A 21,751-nucleotide genomic window follows, 5' to 3' on the forward strand; every position below is an offset into this window, starting at 1 on the left:
TTTTTAGTAGAGACGGGGTTTCACCATGTTAGCCAATAAAAATTTTTACATGCAACATTGTAAGGTTTTGCACTTTAGAAATCATGCAGTGGACCCTATTGGATTGCAAGAGTTGGTTATTAAGTGACTTTAAGGTTACAAAAACAAAAGCAGATCTGGCTTTCTCTCATTTCAACCAGTGACTATGTTACTTCCCCCGAATGTATTCTTTGCCTTAGCATAGCCAACTAAAGTAAAATAAAAATTCTGCCTCTAATTTTGAGGCATATTTTTCAGTTTTTTCATGTGTGGTATTTCCTATATTTGTGAGCTTCAAATGGACGACCTTTTCCCTCTGCAATCTGTTAAGGGCCAAACTCAGAGGATATCTTTATCTGAAGTTCTGTTCTTTTATATCATTCACCTAAATTCTTCTATTAGGAAGTTTAGTCATTTCTGTTTTCTGGGAGGAAAAAAAACTATGCCATAAATTGATAAGTAACTTATAATAATAATATTTGTGATCTGCTTTACAGTTTACATGGTGTTTTTATGTCTCTTTTCTTATTTGGGCACAGGAAGAAATGTGGAAAAGACTGAAAAGTGAATATTACCCAGTTTTATTCTCAAATTACTTTGAATCAACAAAAAGATAAACTATTTAAACTTATTTGACCCACAGGGTGCCCTTCACTTACTGCATTTTAATTTTTGTGGATAATTGAAACTGAATAGAAATAATTTGTTATTCTGTGGTAATTCCAATTGCATACCTAATTGGTATTGAATGCCTCATGGGTATTAAAACAAGGTTGTGGTATTGTCCAAGTTTTCTAATTAAATTTCTGTAAAATAACAGCCCTTCGTTTTCTTGAGAGTTGTTCAATTTGTTCTATAATTTTAGCAGGAGTCAGAGACTGGGACTTACTTATATTTTTTATTGGCTGCCAGTGTTGCTTATATAAACAGTAATTTCTTAAATTGTACTTTGCATTTAAAAATTGATGTGTCATGATACTCTTCAAAATAATTTCAATTTGGAATATTTTAAATACCCTTAATTGGAAAGATCTCATATCCCATATTATAAAGTGGTTCTAGCAACTATACACTATAAAATCCTTTGGGAAGATATGAATGTGGCTAAGCCTCATGTTATTTTAAGCAGTTTGTCACTAGGGGTTGAATATTAAGCGGGAAAAGCATTTAATTTAGCTTTTATGCAGTTTAAACAATTTGTATGTAACCTGTTAACTTTATAGTACTGAGTTTGCTATTGGGCCATGTGCAAGATAGTATCTTTCATCAGTAAAGATTCTAGTGTTCATTCTAGGGTGATATAGATAATATTTGTCATCTTTTCAATGGCCTAGCATTTGAAACCCCTTTCTTAAGGGTCTTAATTTGAAGAACATCCCTGTTCATCACCCATCTTCAGAAGCTGAAAACCCAGATTATTCTAATTCAGCTCCCTTTCAGCTGAGGCTCAGGACTGTTGGGTGGGTGTATCTGTTGGGCTCAGCCAAACAGATGTACCAACCTAAGCTTTCTAATCTGAAATTTATCCACAAAGAAGCCAGGAAAGAGGACTTAAACTGGCAATGATGGTCAATGTTTTCTAGTTTCTCAGGCCAGCAGTTTCAATAGCAGCATCCAGTGGTAGCCATAGCAGTTTAGTAGTGGTGTTCAGTCATGGTAAACAATTATCCTCACTGGATGGGTTCTGTGATGATTAATTTTGAATTGTGATTTCATCTATTAAGTGTATACTGACCCTTTATTTCTGCCTACTTGTCAAAGCTGATTCTCCACACTTCCTGGTAATTCTAAGAGAAACTCATAAGGATTTTATAATGCTGAATCAGCCTGCTGCTTGCAACTAAGAACCCTGACTGATACACCTAGTTACTCTGCCAGTGATTTTTTAATTTGTCACTAGTTAGATCTCTTTAACATTGTTCATTGTGGTTACTTTGAGCTCTTCCCCTTCCCATTTATTCTATTAGTAGCTTGGGTTAAGTGACTTAATCCTGCTAACACTTAACCTCACAGATTATATGAAATAGTGTGTCTGCTCTGGTGCTAGCATGTTAGTGTTGTTAAATTCTTTTTTTTCATATTATTTAGCCTCTTCTAGAGAGCTGTAAACTTATTTATATATTATATAGTCTATTGTCTGTCTCCTCCACTAGAATATAAACTCCACAAGGGCAGGTATCTTTGTCTATTTCTGTGGGCCCAGGACAGTGCCTGGCACATAGTAGGCACACAATCAAAATCTGTTGAATGAATATATGAATCTGGAGCTCCATGCTTGCTTTATAAATTTGCCTGTACCCTGACTACACCAAGAAAATAAAAGGATCAATTATGATTCCCAACACCTCCAAACATCTGTCATCTATCACCCATTCTTACCTTTGTCATCTCTATTTCATCCCAAAGAGAGCACTCCTCTTTTCAGAGGCTAATCTTCCAACTGTGTCCTGAATTTTATTCCCTCCTACCTCTTCTAGGGCAACTGTACCTTTATCTGGTCCTTTTTGTCATGTGTCTCTCCCTGCCATCACCTGCCTTCTAGCCTACGATTGACCACATCTTTGACTTAGTCTCTTCTTAAGGAAGAAGAAAAACTTGACCCTGAAAATCCTTCAACCTGACACCCCATCTGTTCTGTTTTTTACCACCAAATATTTTCAGTACAGATTTATATGGTGGTGTTTTTCTAGATCCTCATTTACACCTCTGCCTCTTGCAGCTGGCTTTCCATAGTCCTTACTAACAGTCACTCTCACAAAGGTTTTTTGTGACATAATTGCCAAATCCAATGATTGTTGGTCAGCCTTATCCTACTTAATTTCTCTACAGATTTGGCTTTTCTGTCTTCAATTTAATTTAACAAATATTTATTGAATATGTGCTGAATGCCCTGCGTTCTACTGGGCAGTGAGGATATATGATGTACATAAAAGCCATGTGCAACAAATAATATATCACAAGTACTATCAAATAGAGTACAGCATTTTTTTAGGACCACAAACAAAAACCCAACAGTTTTCCTGAGGCAGGAGGAGGGAAGGTATCAGGAAAAATAAGAAGGCGGCATAAAATAATAAAGGCATTGCCTAAGGTACAAGGCGGTAACATTGCCTACAGCACAGAAAGCATCAAAGTGCTTGCTATTTTTAAAAATCAGCAATTAGTCTAATATGACAAAAGTGAGGGTGTATTAAAGCAGATAAGGAAGTATTACAATAGGCCAGGCAAGATATAATGAAGCCCTAACTAGGCCATTGTAGCTGGGATGCAAAGAGAGGAGGGTAGAAGTGAGATTACTAGAGAAGTATTCAGAGGTAGAATCAGCAAGACTATGCCTGATTTATTAGTGAAGATGGAGTCATGGGGGAATGGTAAGTTCTGTTTTGGACACAGCATAGTGTTTGATGCTGTGGGACATTCATATAATGAAATTTAGTAAGCAGTTGGATATGTGGATCCAACTGCCACGTTGGTGGTCACATAGTTGAGAACACCTGGGGTGGCCTGGTTGTAGTAGGACACCTGCAGGGTGGGAAGCCAAGCTCAGGGGGACCGAGCTAGGGGAGGGTCCTGGGAAGGGGTGGGAGCCCAGTGGGCACGAGGCTGGTGGTGAGTCAGCCTTGCTGGCCTTCTGGGAGGGCAGAATATTCAACTAAGACCCCAACTCCCCAGGGTCTTAGATTACACAGTTGCCCGGCATGACCTCCTCCAGCTGATCTCCCCCAACCCTTCCTCGGGCGCTGACAACCCTGGCTTCCCATACCACACACCACATTGTCATCGTTAGGTGTGATTAAGGCTGCAGATAAAAATAGGGGGTGGTAATTGAAGTCATGAAAAGGATAAGATAGGGTAAAGATATGGGCAGTTTAGAGAGGAGAGAAGCTCAAGGGACCTGATAGGCTCTGAATCTTTAAGAAGTAGAGAAACTAAGTTGCCTGTTTTGATACAGGGGCCATGGTAAAGTCTTTCTAGAGTGGTCAAATTTTGGAACAGTGAATGTGGGCTTATGGTATGGTATTATTTTTCTTGTTGGTTTTTTAGTCTTTGGTCATCAGTTGGTCTAACTCTACCAGATCTTCACTTGTCTGTGGCATTGCTGCTTCTCCAACATCAATATCAGCTTCATGAAATCCCACCTATTTTGCAGAATGTCTGATGTTACTTTGCATTATCTTTGCATTGTGTTAGGGGATATATCCTGCCATGAACAAGAGGCCAGCAGATTAAAGATGGTGATATGATAGGGATAGTTCAAGGGTTTGGTTATACATTTGTGTGTGCAAAATCCGCCTTGTGTAGTTTACATTTTAGTGGAGAGAGAGAGAGATAATATATATATCCACTGAGGATAAATGTAATGGAGGAAAATAAAGCAAGATAAGGGGGAAGCAGAAAAACTGAGCAGAGACTTAAAAAGAGAGATAACAATCATGTGGATATCCACAGGAAAAACATTTCATTCCAAAAGGAAATAACGGTAAGTATAGAGACCCCAAGGCAGGATTGTTCCTTGGCCTATTCTAGGAATAGCAAATGAGTCAGTGAGGCTGGGGTAAAGTGAGCACAGGCATAGTGCTAGATGAAGACAGAAGTTGGTAGGGGCAGGGGGCTGATGATGGAGGGGAAATTCTCAACCAGTTAGACTCAACTCCGTCATTTTATGACAGCAATGTTATAATACTGACTTTATTGAAATATAATTTGTAGATGATATATAATTTCTTTACAATTTTTAAAATAGAACATGAGTGCACTATTTAAAGGAAAGGTACTTACAATCAAATATGTTTTTAATAGTGAATGTTCAGACAGACAATACAGGAAAACAAAAATGCCCTGTAAAACTACTCTAGGGAACCTGCCTACTTCCTGAGAACCAGTGGTTGTCAGGCCTTTGTTAGGCTTTTACTCTGACTGGGGAGGTTACTGGGGGGTTTAGAGCATAGGAGTAGCATAACCTGACTAATATTTTGAAAGAATCATACTATCTCCTGTGGGAAGTGAGGCTGTAGGTGGTCAGGGACAGAAATCAGGGAGACCAGGTAAGAAGCTACTCCAAAAACCCAGATACAAGATGTTAAGTTGAACCACTGCAATAGAGGACTTCAGAAGTGGTTGAATTCTGGATTTATGTAGAAGGTAGAAGACTTGATGATGGATTGGATACAAACTATAAAATAAAGAGGAATCAAGGAAAACTCCAGATTTTTGCCTGAGCAACTGTAAGGGTGGAATTGTGATTAACTAAGAGAAGGCTGGAAGGATTCATTGTGGGAGGGGAGGCCACGAGCTCCCTTTTGGATATATTAAGTTTGAGATGTCTGTTAGATATCCTGGGAGAAGAGATGTCAGGTTGAAGGTTGGATATACAAGTCTCTAGAAATCAGGGGAGGTCCAGGCTAAAGATACCAATTTGAGAATTATCGTATTTGTAAGTGGTGGAGTTATACAAAAGTTATACTACCAGTGATTCTTCAGTGGAGATGAGATGTTTATTTTCAGTAATCTGGGGAATGAATTTAAGATGTTTGAAATATTAACTGAGATTATAAGACTTTAGATTTAGAAGATTCAGGCCCTGTCACTTCCTTTTGTTTCCTCTCCAGTACCCAACCAAGTGCAATTTGGTTGCATATCTAATACAGTTTGCTGAGTAAAAAAAGAAATACCTCTTTTGAATTTGGCAGTAGAGGTTCGGGTCTTTTGAGTTAATAACAAAGAAGAGTTGGAATCTCTTAAACTAATTTAAGGCTTTGAGTAATGTTAACTTATTTAGTTTTAAATTAAAAAATTTTAAATTGTTAATAAAGTCAGTATTTCAAAAAGAAACTTTTTTATGTATTTTAACCTCTAACTGTATACATTAATTTTATTAGAATTATTAATCATATGATAAGTTATAACCATAAAATAGATGTTAAAGATGGCTAGTGTGACTTTAATGTGGCTTCTAAAATAAAATAGTCATTTATCAGATCATTAATATTTATTTGGTATTCTTTTTAGGAAGATTTGGAGACTGGAGTTCACCTTGACCCTGCCGTCAAAGAAGTTCAGTATAATCCTACCTATGAGACCATGTTTGCTCCTGAGGTAAGAAAACATACTTAAGGTTCTGACTTTTGCTAAAGAATTTAAATCATAGTAGATAATTAGGTGCAGCAGTGAATTTTTAAAAGTTTTATCACATAAGCATACTATTTAAGTTTTTAGAAAATACATGCTTCTTTTTTGTTGTTTTTTTTTTGAGACAGAGTCTCGCTCTGTCGCCCAGGCTGGAGTGCAGTGGCGCAATCTCGGCTCACTGCAAGCTCCGCCTCCTGGGTTCACACCATTCTCCTGCCTCAGCCTCCCGAGTAGCTGGGACTACAGGCGCCCACCACCACGCCTGGCTAATTTTTTTGTATTTTTAGTAGAGACGGGGTTTCACTGTGTTAGCCAGGATGGTCTCAATCTCCTGACCTCATGATCCGCCCTCCTGGGCCTCCCAAAGTGCTGGGATTACAGGCATGAGCCACTGCGCCCAGCCGAAAATACATCCTTCTATTCTCCAAAAGTTCAGGTAGTGTGCTTTTGTGAAAATACTTTTAAAAATCCACTAGCTGCTTATCTGTCTACATACAGATGTCTGATAACATGGAACTATGTCTTTTGAAAAAGGAAATCTGATTCTTAAATATGAACTTAGTTGACATCTTCCTCTCAGTCTTCATGAGGGAGTATTATAATTAACCATAAAGGAAAATATTGGGGCTTACCAGCATCAATATGTAGTATATTACAAAACATCTAATTACAGATGCCCCTGAAGTGTCATACTGATGCACTGCCAGAAAGTAGTCACAGTGTTTGATGCCTGCTCTGAATAAAACAAAGTACTGGATTTTTTTTTCTGTCTCCTGATGAAAAAAACCAGAAACCGCAAATATTGTTCATTTAAGAAAGTCTTTGAATATTATCCATTTAGGGAAGTTTACAGAAAAGATTAAATTTCTAGATATTTTGCCTTTTAAAATGGAAAAGAATGCTTGATTGATGAAATAGAGATGCCAGAAAATGGTAATTATAAAACCAAGAAATACAGCTTCGGTTGATATCAGAATCTTTAAGAAGCACTTTCAAGATGGAGGTGAGGAGCTATATCTTATGGTATCTTGGGGGAAAATGATGTAACATTTTTCATTTTGTAGCATAAATTAGCCCTTTTGTGACATGTTAGAGTCAGAGCTGTTTCATATAGTACTTTTCCTGCCTAGGTTTCTGTATTCACTTAAAAGATGACCATTGAAATGTGTAGCACAGCCAGAGTTGTCAGTGCTTGTGTTTAGACAGAGCTCCAGCGATTCACTGAGTCTGCACTTAGCAAAAATCTTCCCATGCTCTGACACGACGGCACATTTTAATTTTTATTCCATTGTGTCTTAAATCCTTCTAGCATGTCAGACTACTGGTGGTCTCATATCCATTGGCACCATTTTAGCCACCCCACTGAAGAGAGGTTGTGTATTATATGTAAATATATGTTTCATGATTTTTTAAATGAAAAGTACTTTAATAAAATGGAGCCATTGAATTAGGAAAATAAGAAAATTTGGAAGCATTCTGATATGTAACATTCTCATGTCATTTTATTTTCTCTGAAGCCTGCTTTTTTCATGAGTTCTTAAATTTCATGCATAACTAATACATTGCTGTGTAATTAGTTTCCAAACTTTCAAGAAAAATTTAAAAGACCAGTTAAAATTTTTTTGTCGTTCTCTTTGTGGGATTTCAGTCCTTTAATGTTCTTTTTCCTCGGGTTAGAGAACCTCACATTAAATGTATAAATTAGTTTATGTGAGGAGCACTACAGTACTTCTTTACAAGGTAAAAAAGGACTGATAGGACTTAAAAGGGAAGCAAAATTATAATTGTTCCTGGTTGCCAAATGAATCCTCTGTAACTTATCAAATTTTGAACTTTTGTCTTCTATGACTAGGATGTGTATCACTTGGCAAAGTCTGGAAAAGTATCACTAGGAACTTCACCAGTTTAAATTTTAAATTCCTGTATTTTGAGTATCCATTGTTAGAAACAAGATATAATCCCTCTCCTCAAGCTAGTGTTTACCAGAGAGTATGTGCTGTTTGTTGGTTTGGTCAAATGTGTTTTTTTTAAAAAGATAGAGACCAGACTATTTCTTATTATGCCTCTAAAGTACTACTCAAGCTTAAGGAAAAATTGCATCTGGTTGTAAATACTTTTAAAAATTCCCTGAAAGAAGTAATGTTTGAATTGGGCAATTCAATCCAGGTCAAGAACATGAGATTTGGAGTTAAGCGGAATACTTATTAGCTCTGTGTAACCTTGGACGTTCTTAGTTTTTTCGTAGGTAAAATGAAGATAATTTTTATCTTATTGAGTTATAAAGATAAATCAGATAATGTATGATATAGTTAAAAAATCCTTCCGGCACAGAGTAGGCATTTAACAAATGGTAGTCATCATTGTTATTTTTATTAATTATTGGCATTGGTGGCTAGGTAGGCTTTTATGAGGAGAGACTTCAAGAAGAGAACAAACAGCATGAGCCGAATCATAAAAGATCTAAAGAACAGGAATGCCCGAGTCCTTACCAGAAGAAAGAATTGAGAGATAAGACTAGGATGGTACTTTGTATAACATTGCGCAAGGCTTTGGGGGCCAAGGTGAAGAGTTTTATCTTGATTTAATCAATGATAAATAGATTTGTGAGGGTCTTAAATAGGGGAGTAGCATAATCAAAGCTGAATTTTTAAGAAGGTTTATTTGGTATGCGTTTGCATTATGGAAAAGAACAGGGATATAGATTAGTGAAATAAAGCCACCAATTATTACTGTATGCCAGGTACCATACTGAAGGATTTACATACCTCATCTCCTTCAGTCCTCACTAAAACCCTATGAAGTAAGTACCTGTGTCCTTATTTTATAGCAAGGAAACCAAGTCTTAAGTTATACTGCCAGCAAGTGGCAAATTTAGAGATTTGAGTCCAGATCACTCTTAATTATCTCCCTATAATTGGAAGACCAGTTTGAAGGCCACTGTGGAGTTTGCAGGGTAACCCCTATGCCTTTGACTTTGCTAGTTCTGAACATTTACTCAATTGCTTATTTTATTTTATAAAATATTGTTTCTCTCTTCTGACCAAGGACTTTTCCCAAATTGTCTAGCTGGTTATATAGATAATTTTTCTCACATAATGGATAGAACTCGAAGACATAGTAGCCATTGTTTTAGTCTAGTAATTTCTTCATTTCACTCAATTCTTTTTAAATCTGCTTAGACAAAAATGTATTAATTAGCTTCTATAAACTCATAAAATCTGTAAGTCTCAGGAAGAATTCCAGACTCTTTAAAATAGTAGTACTTCAGAATAGAAAAAATATAAAAGTTAAGAGAAACAAAAACACCAGTTACTGTTAAAAATCTGGCTATAAAGGCTGCTGTAAATATTAATGTTATGATGAACTTTAGAAATCATATAGCTCAAATCTTCTATTTGTAGATGAGGAAACTGAGACCAAAGATCATAGAACCAGCACTAATGAAATTTTCTCATACTAATATTTTTATGCCTTACTAGATATGACATGATATCCACTAATAAAATTGAATTGTGGGGATCTTCTCTTAATTTGCAGGAAATAACAGACTCTTCTCACCTTAAAATTTGTTTATAAATCTTTTAAACAATAATGACTGCAGTAAATATGAATGAAAAATGTACCAACAATCTAGTATACTATTATATGTTCAGTAATTTGGGTTATTTTTCTTTATGTGAACTTACAACTATGATTTTATTTAGCCCATTTTTAGTAGTATAAATTGTCTTAATTCCTGCAATGTTATAATATGCTGCTAAAATGCTGACTCACCAATACTCTACCGACTGAAGATTTTTGAGATCCACATCCTTATAGTATCAGATCTCTGAGAGTTATCAACCAGCATCTTCACAAATTAAGAGTGCTTTTCTCCCAACTCTATAAGTAAACCACTACTTCATTCAGTTGACAGATGTTTAAGAATACTTTTCTCTTGGGAACATCATACATACTTTGGGTGTAGTGATCTGAATTAGTACTTACATACTTTTTAATAAATTAATTTTTTAATTAACAAAAATTGTATATATTTACAATGTACAATGTGTTTTTTAATATGTATACATTGTAGAATGGCTAAATCAAGCTAATTAACATATGCATTACTTCATGTACTGATCATTTTTTGTGGTGAGAACACTTAAAATCTACTTTTAGTGGTTTTCAAGAATACATTGTTATTAACTGTAGTCACCATGTTGTACAATAGATCTTTTGAACTTATTCCTCCTAATTGAAATTGTACATCCTTTGACCAACATCACCCAAAACCCCTCCATCCCATTCCATCCCCACCCACCCACCCAGCTCCTGCTAACCATTCACTCTCTGCTTCTATGAGGTCAACTTTTTGAATCCCACATGTGGGATCATGTGATACTTGTCCCAGCACCTGGCTTATTCCACTTAACATAATGCCCTCCAGGTTAATCTATGCTGTCAGAAATGACAAGATTTCCTTCTTTTTCAAGGCAGAATAGTAGGCCGTTGTGCAGACATACCACATTTTCTTTATGCATTCAAACATTGACAGCCATTTAGGTTGATTCGTGGGAATACAGATATCTCTTTGACATGCTGATGTCATTTCCTTTGGACATATACCCACTTGTAAAATTGCTGGGGTCATATGGTAGTTCTATTTTTAATTTTTTGAGGAGCCTCCATACCATTTTCCATAGTGGCTGCACTAATTTCCATTCCCACCAACAGTATACAAGTATTCTCTTTTCTCCAGAACATCCTTGCCAACACTTGTTACCCTTTATCGTTTTTATAATAGCTACTCTGACAGGTTTGAGATGATATTGTGATTTTAATTTGCATTTCTCTGGTGATTAGTAATGTTGAGTACTTTCTCAAATACCTGTTGACTTTTTTTTTTTTTTTTTGAGAGGAGTCTCGCTCTGTCACCCAGGCTGAAGTGCAGTGGTGTGATCTCAGCTCACTACAACCTCCGTCTCCTGAGTTCAAGCGATTGTCCCACCTCAGACTCCTGAGTAGGTGTCTACAGGCACACACCACCATGCCTAGCTAATTTTTTGTATTTTTCATAGAGATAGGGTTTCACAATGTTGGCTAGGCTGGTCTTGAACCCCTGACCTCAAGTGATCCACCTGCCTTGACCTCCCAAAGTGCTGGGATTACAGGCATGAGCCACTGCACCTGGCCCCTGTTGGCTATTTATATGTCTTTTGAGGAATGCTGAGAAATTCAAGTCCTTTGCCAATTTTTAATTGAGTTATTTATTTTCTTACTGTTGAGTTGAGTTCCTTGTGTATTTTGGATATTAACCCCTTACCAGATGTATGGTTTGCAAACATTTTCTCACTTAAATGTGTATGTTTTATGTAAGGAGATTGCAATTATAATTTACTATATTGTTCTTCATTATTGTTTGAGCTAAAAATTGTTAAATACGCATATGAACTTGAATATATTATACATTCACATTTATGTTATGTATTTACTTATATCTTGTTATAAATCACGTGAACACAAATTTACTCTTAAACTCAGTTAACTACCAAAACTTGAAGTGTTTGGAAATCAAATTTGTGTGTTTTCCATGTGTTCTGTTGTATTTTTTTAATGGTTGTTCCAGAACTAAGCGAGTTGCATATTCACAGGGACCAAGAACAGCTGAGAAACCTATCTTGAGTAATTGGGAAGAGCTGAGTCCTGCTAAGTAGCGTTCGCTGCCTTCCTCTGTTAATATTCAATGTCTTTAAGGTCAGCTCCAATAGCTACCAGTAGATGAATCCTCCTCCCACTGATTCCTTGTATCACTGGAAGATTTTTTTGTTGCCTCAGCTTAAATCTGTGTGAGACATAGGCATATGTAAATTTTTAGATTGCTTTATGTGTAGTAGGCATATGTGAAGTTTTAGATTGCTTTCGGTATAGTACCTTATATTATACATAGCCTTAATATATGGATCTGTCTTTGTATAGAAATCACAGTTCTTTTACACTGATAATTTTTCTTTAAAAAGTGGAGCTAGTGGCGGGGCGCGGTGGCTCATGCCTATAGACATCCCAGCACTTTGGGAGGCAGAGGCGGGCGGATACGAGGTCAGGAGATCGAGACCATCCTGGATAACACAGTGAAACCCCGTCTCTACAAAAAATACAAAAAATTAGCCGGGTGTGGTGGTGGGCACCTGTAGTCCCAGCTACTCGGGAGGCTGAGGCAGGAGAATGGTGTGAACCCGGGAGGCAGAGCTTGCAGCGAGCTGAGATTGCGCCACTGCACTCCAGCCTGGGTGACAGAGGGAGACCCTGTCTCAAAAAAAAAAAAAAAAGTGGAGCTAGTTTGGTATGTATGGCCTGTAGAAAAATTGTTCTTTCTTTTTTAGTAAAATCTGAATTAAATAAGAATATGGAAATTGTAGTCTCCTTTTTTTAAATGGAAAGTTACTTAAAGCACAATGATTGGTCATCTGTTATTTGTGATGTGAGTAACAGTTAAGAACAATGGGGATTTTTATCACTTTAGATTCCCCACCATGCCCCCTCCACCCCACCTCTGACCAGAAATAGCAGATGCTGCTCTGTGGATGATAGCTTCTGTGGATGATAGCTGACCGTAGCGGGTAGAGAATCTAGGAAACTTTTAAATCATTTTGTTATCTGTAATTTTATGGCTGTTCCTGTTTTTGTAATAAATTTCATGACTGAATGAAGTTGACTGCTACTTCTAGCATTCAGCAATCTAGATTTTTTTCCCCGACATTTTTCACCCATCAGGAGGCACAGGAAGGACTAATATGGGCTGCAAAGTCTTGCACTATCCATTATAATTAAGAATATGTACTAATAAAAGCTTTGTATATAAATCAGATATTTTAAAATTGAATCATTTTAAACATATAAATGGAAGCTGTCAATATATAGGAATGTTGTAGCAATTTATTTTCTTCTAAAGCAGAAAAAAATGTAAGGCACAGCTAACATTTAAATTCAGATTTTCATACATAGTATAATGTTGATATCTAGAGAATGCAATGTACTGGTTAAGAGAAGATGAGTAATTTTATTTGTGGCTCTGGAAATGTATCGTAGAAGAGATGGTTTCTAATGGTAATGACCTACAATGTTCTAATGTCAAAATAATTCATCATGACGGTGGGTCTTACAGAGTTCAGATGAAAATATCCTATTATTTTCGCCCTTTCCAAAGTGGGAAGCTCATTTGATTCTTTATTTAAAAACAAACAAAAAAAGAGTTGGATTTTCCCAGTACCTTTTATAATAGTATTAAATTAATAGCACTTGACATAATATATTCTGGTAATTTTTTACTCAATTTTTAAAAGTTAGAGGCTCTGATGGTGCATTTAAGGAACTTTATGATGTAATAGAATGCTTGACTGCTGTTTGTTCTAGCCCTGGTTCTGCCAATTAATAAAACTTTTGATCCTAGGGCAGGTAAAATACATTGCCTTTGGGGGTTTTTTCTTCATTTGCAGCATGAGAAGGAGAATACTTGTTTAACTTGTCAGGATTAAATAGCATTTGGAAAAACATTCTGGAAACTCAAAAGTATTATAAGCAAATAATAATTTGGCACTATTCGGTATAAGAAAAGTAATGTGACTCTTCATAGTGTGACTTCTCAGAGTGGAGATATTTTATTGACATTTGCAATATCTTTTCCTAGGGACTTTTTCAAGCACTTTATTTTTGTTGTCTGTTTTTCTATCCTCCACCCCCAATGGAATTCTGATTAATCTTTCCTTCATTAGTACTTTCTATATGCCAGGCACTGTGGTAAATATTGAGTATTCTGAGTCTCCCACTTTGAGGAACTAGTGGAAAAGAAACATGTAGTTTTTAAAAAAAATTATATGACAGTACCACTGTTGATATAAAAGTCACCCCAAATCCCCGAAATCATGGTTTGGGGAAACTATAGTAACTCTCAATTATCTAGAGCATCACTGTGAAGTAGAACTTCTGCAATAATGTGAATGTAGTAGCTGACAACCACATGGGGCTACTGAGCTCTTGAAATAAATAGCTACATATAGATTTGAGTGAGAGGGGTTCCTCTCCTTCTGTCCCAGGGGCTGACAAATGGTGCTAATCAGCCATTGCCCAGCTGCACTGAACCGTATCAGGCTAATGTGTTCCCAGATAGGTTAATAGGCCCTTTTTTTGTACAGTTATTCCAGTAATTCTAACTTCCATATACTCAGAACTTTTGTGTCTTTCTTATTTTATTTTATTTTTTTTCTTGTAACATTGCAGTTTGGACCAGAAAATCCCTTTAGGACACAGCAAATGGCTGCCCCTAGAAATATGCTTTCTGGATATGCCGAACCAGCTCATATCAATGATTTCATGTTTGAGCAGCAAAGGAGAACTTTTGCAACATATGGTAAGGTGATAAGACTTAAGCAGTTTCAATTTTGGCTTTATTAGAAGTGTGATCTGTGTGTGTTAGTCTGTTTTATCTTCTGGCTTTTAAAATTCACTGGATTCCTTCAGAAAGGATAGTATGCCTTCCTATACATATCCTTAAATATTTATATAAATGGGAAGGTGAACTCATATTTTTAGCTGTCATTGTAAATCCACTGTGATTTCTGAGTACTGGAAATATTCTGTGATCTTAACCAGAATGCTCTTTGTTGTCGTACTAGGTAATGGACATTTGTTATTTTATATCCATTACATGTAGGTTGCTGTTAAAGTTGGCAAATGAAAAGATAGTGTTAAGAGGTTACTTTTTTATCTTATTATAGGCTATTTAACTTTACTCTGTTTCTCAAATCTTATCTTGGAAATGCTTTCTCTTGATCACTGAAGGGTATCAGGAAAGAGAATAGCGAAAAATTCATTATGTAAAATAATTACATCCTACCAGTGGTGGGATTTTAAAAATTTAATGTGCGTGGAAACTGCTTGTATAGAGGATTATCATGTATTAGATCATACTTCACCATGGTAAGATTGTAATAGACTTAGAATGTACCAAATATCACAGCCAAGGCTATATACCACTTAAATCACCCAAAACAGTTCTATGACACTTCCAGTCCAATAAAATGGTTACAAATATGTTATACCCATTGCTTGTATAAGGGGTCCCATGTAAATCTAAAGTAATGTGCAGCACATAAAAATAAACTGTTACATCATGATTTTGTTATATTCTAACCTATAATAAGAGACTTTTAAAGACTTATTGTCTTCGACTTTAGAAGGACCTTAAGCAATAATTTAGTTCTCTTGTTTCCTTTAAAACAAAACAAAAGTCCAAGTAAGTTTATACCGATACCTACTTTTCTTCTTAAATTACCTTATAACAAGAATAAGGATTTAAAACTCTTCAGCTGGCTTTAGACCTGGTTTCAGAAATGGGTTGTGTTTTTTTGTTTGTTTGTTTGTTTGTTTTAAGTATCTGGTGATTTTTGCCTCTCCCACTAGGAAGTGGTGAGGTAGGACACAGGTTGAACTATTGAGTTAAAGACAAAAAATGAATTTGGGGCTATAGTATATTAGGCAGCCTAAAATAAAGGCAGCCTATAGTATATTAGGCAGCCTAAAATAAAATAAAGTGGGAGATTTTTGCCTCTCCCACTAGGAAGTGGAGAGCTAGGACACAGGTTGAACTATTGAGTTAAAGACAAAAAATGAATTTGGGGCTATAGTATATTAGGCAGCCTAAAATAAACGGAATGGCCAGTTACAAAACTAAGAAAATTTTGGTTTGTCTCCTTTATGATAGATCTTAGATAAGGTCGATCTTATTTATTAAGTTCAAGTGAACTTAGTAAGATTTAGGTTTAAACTGAGGTTTAAAGAGACAGTTTATTAAGTTCAAGTAAACTTAATAAGTGAACTTAGTAAATAAGATCAGTCTTGTCTAAGCTTTAACAACTGTCTCTTTAAACCTTAGTTTTAACACTGTCTGTTTTTTCTTTGCCCCCAGGTACTGAGCAAGTATATGACTTCTATTAGTTTGTCCTATAATTTTCTTATAGAAAGTTCTTATCTGACTTCTGATAGTAATTCCTATACCAGATTCCTATCAACTTTTGTTGTTGTTGTTCTTGTTTTTTAATCTTTCCACATGAAATGTAAGGCTGTGAGACCTTTCCGTTACCTTCCCTCATTTGCAAAGTGCAAGGAAGCAAACCTTTCTTATACCTTGTAGTGGTGTTATCTAACAGACATACAGGAGGTGACACATGAATTCAGTTTTACCTCAATCTCATAACCCTGGGCTATCACTGCTGGAATATAATACAAATATTTATTTTAATTTTCTTCCCATTTTTAAAAGTTGTAAGATTGTTATAATCTCAGTGAATTATTTCTGGAAGATTTATATTCTACAATGCAGTTAGTTTATCATAGAGCCCACCTGTAGAGTCCTTATCACTGAAAATAGTCTCATTTACTGTGTCATCCCGTTTACTTACTCTACAGTTTTGCTTTTAGCTTGCATTTATGGTATTTCTCCTGACTTCTCAGCCCCTCAGTGGTTGTGTGAATTTTGTCCTGTTTTCTGCCTGCTCCCCTGCCAGTCTTACTTGGGGCTTCTCAATGAAGTTTCTTCCTTTTGTTCGACTTTCATCTAGAATTTTCTCTACACCCACCTACAGAAGTGGAAAATAGAATTTTAAATAAATACTTTTAGTCTCACAATAATTATTAACATGAGTTTTAACTTCAATATTTGAAATCCTTTATTAACATTTTTATTTTATTTTTTTTGAGACAGTCTCACTCTCTTGCCCAGGCTGGAGTGCAGTGGCGCGATCTCAGCTCACTGCAAGCTCCGCCTCCTGGGTTCAACGCCATTCTCCTGCCTCAGCCTCCCTAGTAGCTGGGACTACAGGCACCCGCCACCACGCCTGGCTAATTTTTGTATTTTTAGTAGAGACGGGGTTTCACCATGTTAGCCAGGATGGTCTCGATCTCCTGACCTTGTGATCCACCCGCCTCAGCCTCCCAAAGTGCTGGGATTACAGGCATGAGCCACCGTGCCCGCCCTTATTAACATTTTTAAATGATTTTTTAAAAACAGTCTACTGAACAAAGATATAATTTTTAAAAGAATTACTTGTATCATTTAGATTTCAGTTTGATTCCAGTTTTCACTATTAAAAATGTGATGTATGTTATGCTACAAAGTGCATTTTAAAACATGGTAGTGAATATTTTTGTACATAAAACTTTACATGTTCTTATATTATTTTATACTATTTTCTTAAATGAGTTCCCAAACGTAGGTAAAAGAATATGTGTTTTAAAAGCTTTTGGTATATATTATCAAATTGCTTTCCAAAAGAATTCTCTCAACCTACTCTACCACCACAGTGTATAAAAGTCCTATTTCTCTTTTTTTTTTTTTTTTTTTTTGAGACAGGATCTCGCTCTGTCACTCAGGCCGTGCAGTTGTGGGATCTCTGCTCACTGCAACCTCTACCTCTGGGGTTCAGGCAATTCTCATGCCTCAGCCTCCTGAGTAGCTGGAATTACAGGCATGAACGACCACACATAGCTAATGTTTTTTTTTGTATTTTTCGTAGAGATGGGGTTTTACCATATTGGCCAGACTTGTCTCAAAACTCCTGGCCTCAAGTAATCTGCCTTCCTTGGCCTCCCAAAGTGCTGGGATTACAGGCCTGAGCCACGATGCCCGGCCCTATTTCTCTTCATCAAAGATCCATATGATTGTTTTTCCTTTGTTTACTTGATAATCAAAGTATTATATTTCTTTATTGCAACTTGATTTTTCCGGACTACTAGTGAGGTCGAAGGTTTTTTCATATATTTATGACCATTCTTTTGCAAATTGTTTATAGTCTCTTTTCATTTGCCTAATGGAATTAGTTTTAATAATTATTATTAGTTTAATAATCTTAAGGGTATAATAATAAAATCAATATTATGGCCATTTCAAATAAGACTGCCGAAGGGAAGAAAGTAGACATTAATTCCATTAAAAAGATAAAAGGGAAAACAAGCTTCAGGAAGATAGATAAGAATATTTAAGAAATGTAGAAATATTCACTTATTTGAGACACAAGATAGTGAGAAAACAAATTGGACTGAAATTTAGTAGTGTTAGAATTAGATCTTGTTCTATCACTGGCTGATTTGTAGTAAGACATAAGGCCAAATATTTAACTCTTATTTGTAAAAGGAAAATAATACTGTTTTCTAATCACCTGGGGTGGAAGGCAGTAGTGGGGATGGTGGTATGGCAGTAAAGATTTTTACCACAGAGGATGTGGAGCAAGAGGAAAGCATAACTTATTTTTCTGAGTAACAAGACAGTGGCCAGATGAGTTGGGGAATGGTGCTTACACAGAGACAAGGACCAGGGATACCTCTTCCCTCTCTGTCTACTCCTTCACCCTTCCAGACGCGTCATGAAATGCTATTTATGTAGACGTTAAGTCTCCTTTCAAAGTAGAAATTTACATTCTAGCTAGATACGTTTTTTATTATTGAAATGGAAACTTTTAACATGGTATGAGCTTATAAAAGTCTCATTTTTTGGAAAAAGTTATGTGCAGAACACTTCTGTACATCAAAGAGATTAAAGACAAAATAACTCATGGGATTTGAACCTGTGATTTCAGAGATTCTACTCCAAAGGCTGATTTTCTGCCACCAAGCTCTCTCCTCTGGTTAAGAACATATTTTAATGCTGAAAAAAACTATATGCAAATCAGCTAATAGCCAGGTGGTTGGTTCTGTTATAGCATATCATGAGGGTGAGTTCAGCACTTACATCCTTAGCTTGTTTGAAAAGCATGCTTCATGATGAATCTTTTTCTGTTCCCCAAAAGAAGTTCCCTATATTCTGTTTTTTTGTGTGTGTGTGTGAGATGGAGTCTCGCTCTGTCGCCCAGGCTGGAGTGCAGTGGCGCGATCTCAGCTCACTGCAAGCTACACCTCCCCGGTTCACACCATTCTCCTGCCTCAGCCTCCCGAGTAGCTGGGACTACTTTGGATGAAAAATGAAAATAATAAGTCTATCCTCTAGGATGTGCCCTTTAGAAAAAATGGGCTTAGTACTTTTTTATGTATTCTATTATCGTACACATGAGTTGTAGGCCATAAAGTGATCAGTGATTTAGCACTCTTGTGAATATACCAGACTAATGTTACCAAACATTTACTGTGCTAGCACACCCATTTGAGAAAAAAACTGATTTGAGCTAACTTAGGTAGACTTTCTTTCCTTAAATTCCCATGGACCACTGAAGACCACATTTATATGTAGCTACATACTTTATAATTAGTTTAAAAAGCACATTCGTATGCTGGTAGATATCCTTCCTTCTCTTAAGGAAATATAAAGAATGATTGATGAAATAGAAATATATTAAGATTGGGAAGGAAGACTGTCCTTACTGCAAATGGTATTTTCAAAATAATAGCTAGATTTTATGTAATCTTCTTACCCTTTTTTATTTAATAATTTACATAATTTGATAAACTTAGCCCTGCAATATCTATTACCAAGAAGAAAAGGAAAATGGTTTCTAGATTTCCAAGTGCATCATGTACATGTATTTTCAAGCTCTTAGAATATTTAAAACTAAAGTTTGATGTGTTGGCCAGAGAGGCTCTTAGTAATGTAATGTCAGTATGCAAAATTCATCCTATAAGAAACATATTATGCTGGAGTCTAGCCTGAGCTTTGGGTTCTAAATAGAAAAATATAGCTTTGGGTTCTAAATAGAAATATAGCTCAGGGGCCGGGAGTGGTGGCTCACACCTGTAATGCCAGCACTTTGGGAGGCCAAGGCGGTGGATCATTTAAGGTCAGGAGTTCAAGATCAGCTTGGCCAACATGGTGAAACCCCATCTCTCCAAAAAAATACAAAAGTTAGCTAGGGGTAATGACGCATGCCTGTAATCCCAGCTACTCTGGAGGCTGAGGCAGGAGAATTGCTTGAGCCTGGAAGGCGGAGGTTGCAGTGAGCCGAGATTACACCACTGCACTCCAGCCTGGGTGACAGGGTGAGACCCTATCTCAAAAAAAAAAAAAAAAAAAAAAAGGAAGCAATATAGCTCAGGGCAGAATGATTGGTCCTGATTGGTCCTGAGTTAGAGATCATTTTTGACATCTGGGAAAGAAAATGTGAAATGTGTATATTTGTATTATAATAATAAAATGAATTTAAACAGCAAAATGGAGTTAATAATTTTCACTTTTTTGCTTTCAGGTTATGCATTAGACCCTTCATTAGATAATCATCAAGTGTCTGCTAAATATATTGGTTCTGTAGAAGAAGCTGAAAAAAATCAAGGTAATTTATTTGAAACATTTGATATCATATATACCTACACATCTATAATTAGTGTCTTGCAGAGTGACTTTAATTAGACAGTAAAAAATAGTATTTAGCGCTTTTTTTTTTAAAGTTGAAACAATGGAGCGATACAGTTTAGAGCAATATAGTTCAGAAATGTTACAGTTTAGAGCTTGCTTTTGCCGCTTACTAGTTGTGGAATCTTGTAGGGAAAATAATGATACATATCTCTTTGAGTTACTTTGAGTACTTGGCACCATGCCAACCCTGTAGAAATCACTCAATAAATTACAACTAATGTATAGATAATTTTGGCAATTGATTTCTCAACATTAATGTCAAGCTTCATTTTAACAGAGTAGAAATACTTTATTTGGTAAGTCTGTGAAGATTGTCTTTGAAGAGTTGCTTTGAAGGTTGAGTTTGAATATGTGTTGTATGTATGCTTGTATTCATATTCATTTTGTACTTACAATAAGACAAAACATCATACGCTAAACGCTAACTTGTCACAAGCCTCATCAGTCCATTAGAATATTATCCATAAAATGCAATTTAAAAAGTAATTTGCTGGTTGGTTGCATGGGACATTTGTGCTTAGTAGCTATAGATCCTATGTGATCTGGCTGGTCTCTGTATATGAGCTAGATTATTGTTAAAATAGAATTTTAACAGGCTTTTGCTATAAAACATAGCCTGAATTAATATAGGTAGACATTTCTTCTTTAAGCTAGACCTCTGCAAGTCCCATCTAAAGGTAGCTAGATTCTTAGTTAACTTGTGACTATGATTCCACAAACCTTTCTTTTTCCAAGTTAATGACTATACACAGTATGCCACCTCCTACTAATCAAATCAAAATCTCAACCAGAAACACCCTCCTTCTCCTTTTCTTTTACTGTTAACGTTAATGATATTAGAGGTCAAGATGAGACTGAAATCACTTGGAAGGAATACCATTTCTGGTGAAACCTTGTTTGATTTACATTTTTGCATTACAAGTGAAGTGAAGATAAGTTATTAAGTACTTACAGTAATTTAGTTTAATTTAGTTTTAAAATGATAAATTACAGTTTATTCTTGCTTCCAAATGTCACTTTATTATTACTTAGCAATAATGAGTTTCTGAGTTTTTTCCAGAAAGTCGTACAAATCCACTGACACAGCTTTTTGATTCAATAAAAGGCTTGTGCGCCATTGTAGGAGTACATATTTGGGTCTCTTCTTTAAGTATACAGTATTAGAATTTGCAGAATATTGAATTAGTTTTAAGTGTCTTTGCCCAGAAGGTTGAATCCCTTTTTCTGTAGCAT

The 21,751-nt window shown here is 36.0% G+C and overlaps 1 protein-coding gene across 2 annotated transcripts in view; it reads left to right on the plus strand.

Annotated features, from left to right (window-relative positions):
• CDC40 (cell division cycle 40) overlaps positions 1-21,751 on the plus strand; it is a 51,806-nt gene that overhangs the window by 6,728 nt on the left and 23,327 nt on the right. Inside the window, exons 2-4 of one of the 2 annotated variants that reach the window (NM_015891.3) lie at positions 6,028-6,114; positions 14,404-14,533; positions 20,352-20,435. In NM_015891.3, the coding sequence (NP_056975.1) occupies positions 6,028-6,114; positions 14,404-14,533; positions 20,352-20,435 (301 nt within the window). Of the gene's footprint in view, positions 1-6,027; positions 6,115-14,403; positions 14,534-20,351; positions 20,436-21,751 lie in introns of those variants that run through there. The other variant, XM_047418862.1, reaches the window with a different exon arrangement.

Source organism: Homo sapiens, chromosome 6 (genome assembly GCF_000001405.40).
Source record: "Homo sapiens chromosome 6, GRCh38.p14 Primary Assembly".
In the NCBI taxonomy this organism is placed as follows: Eukaryota; Metazoa; Chordata; class Mammalia; order Primates; family Hominidae; genus Homo; species Homo sapiens.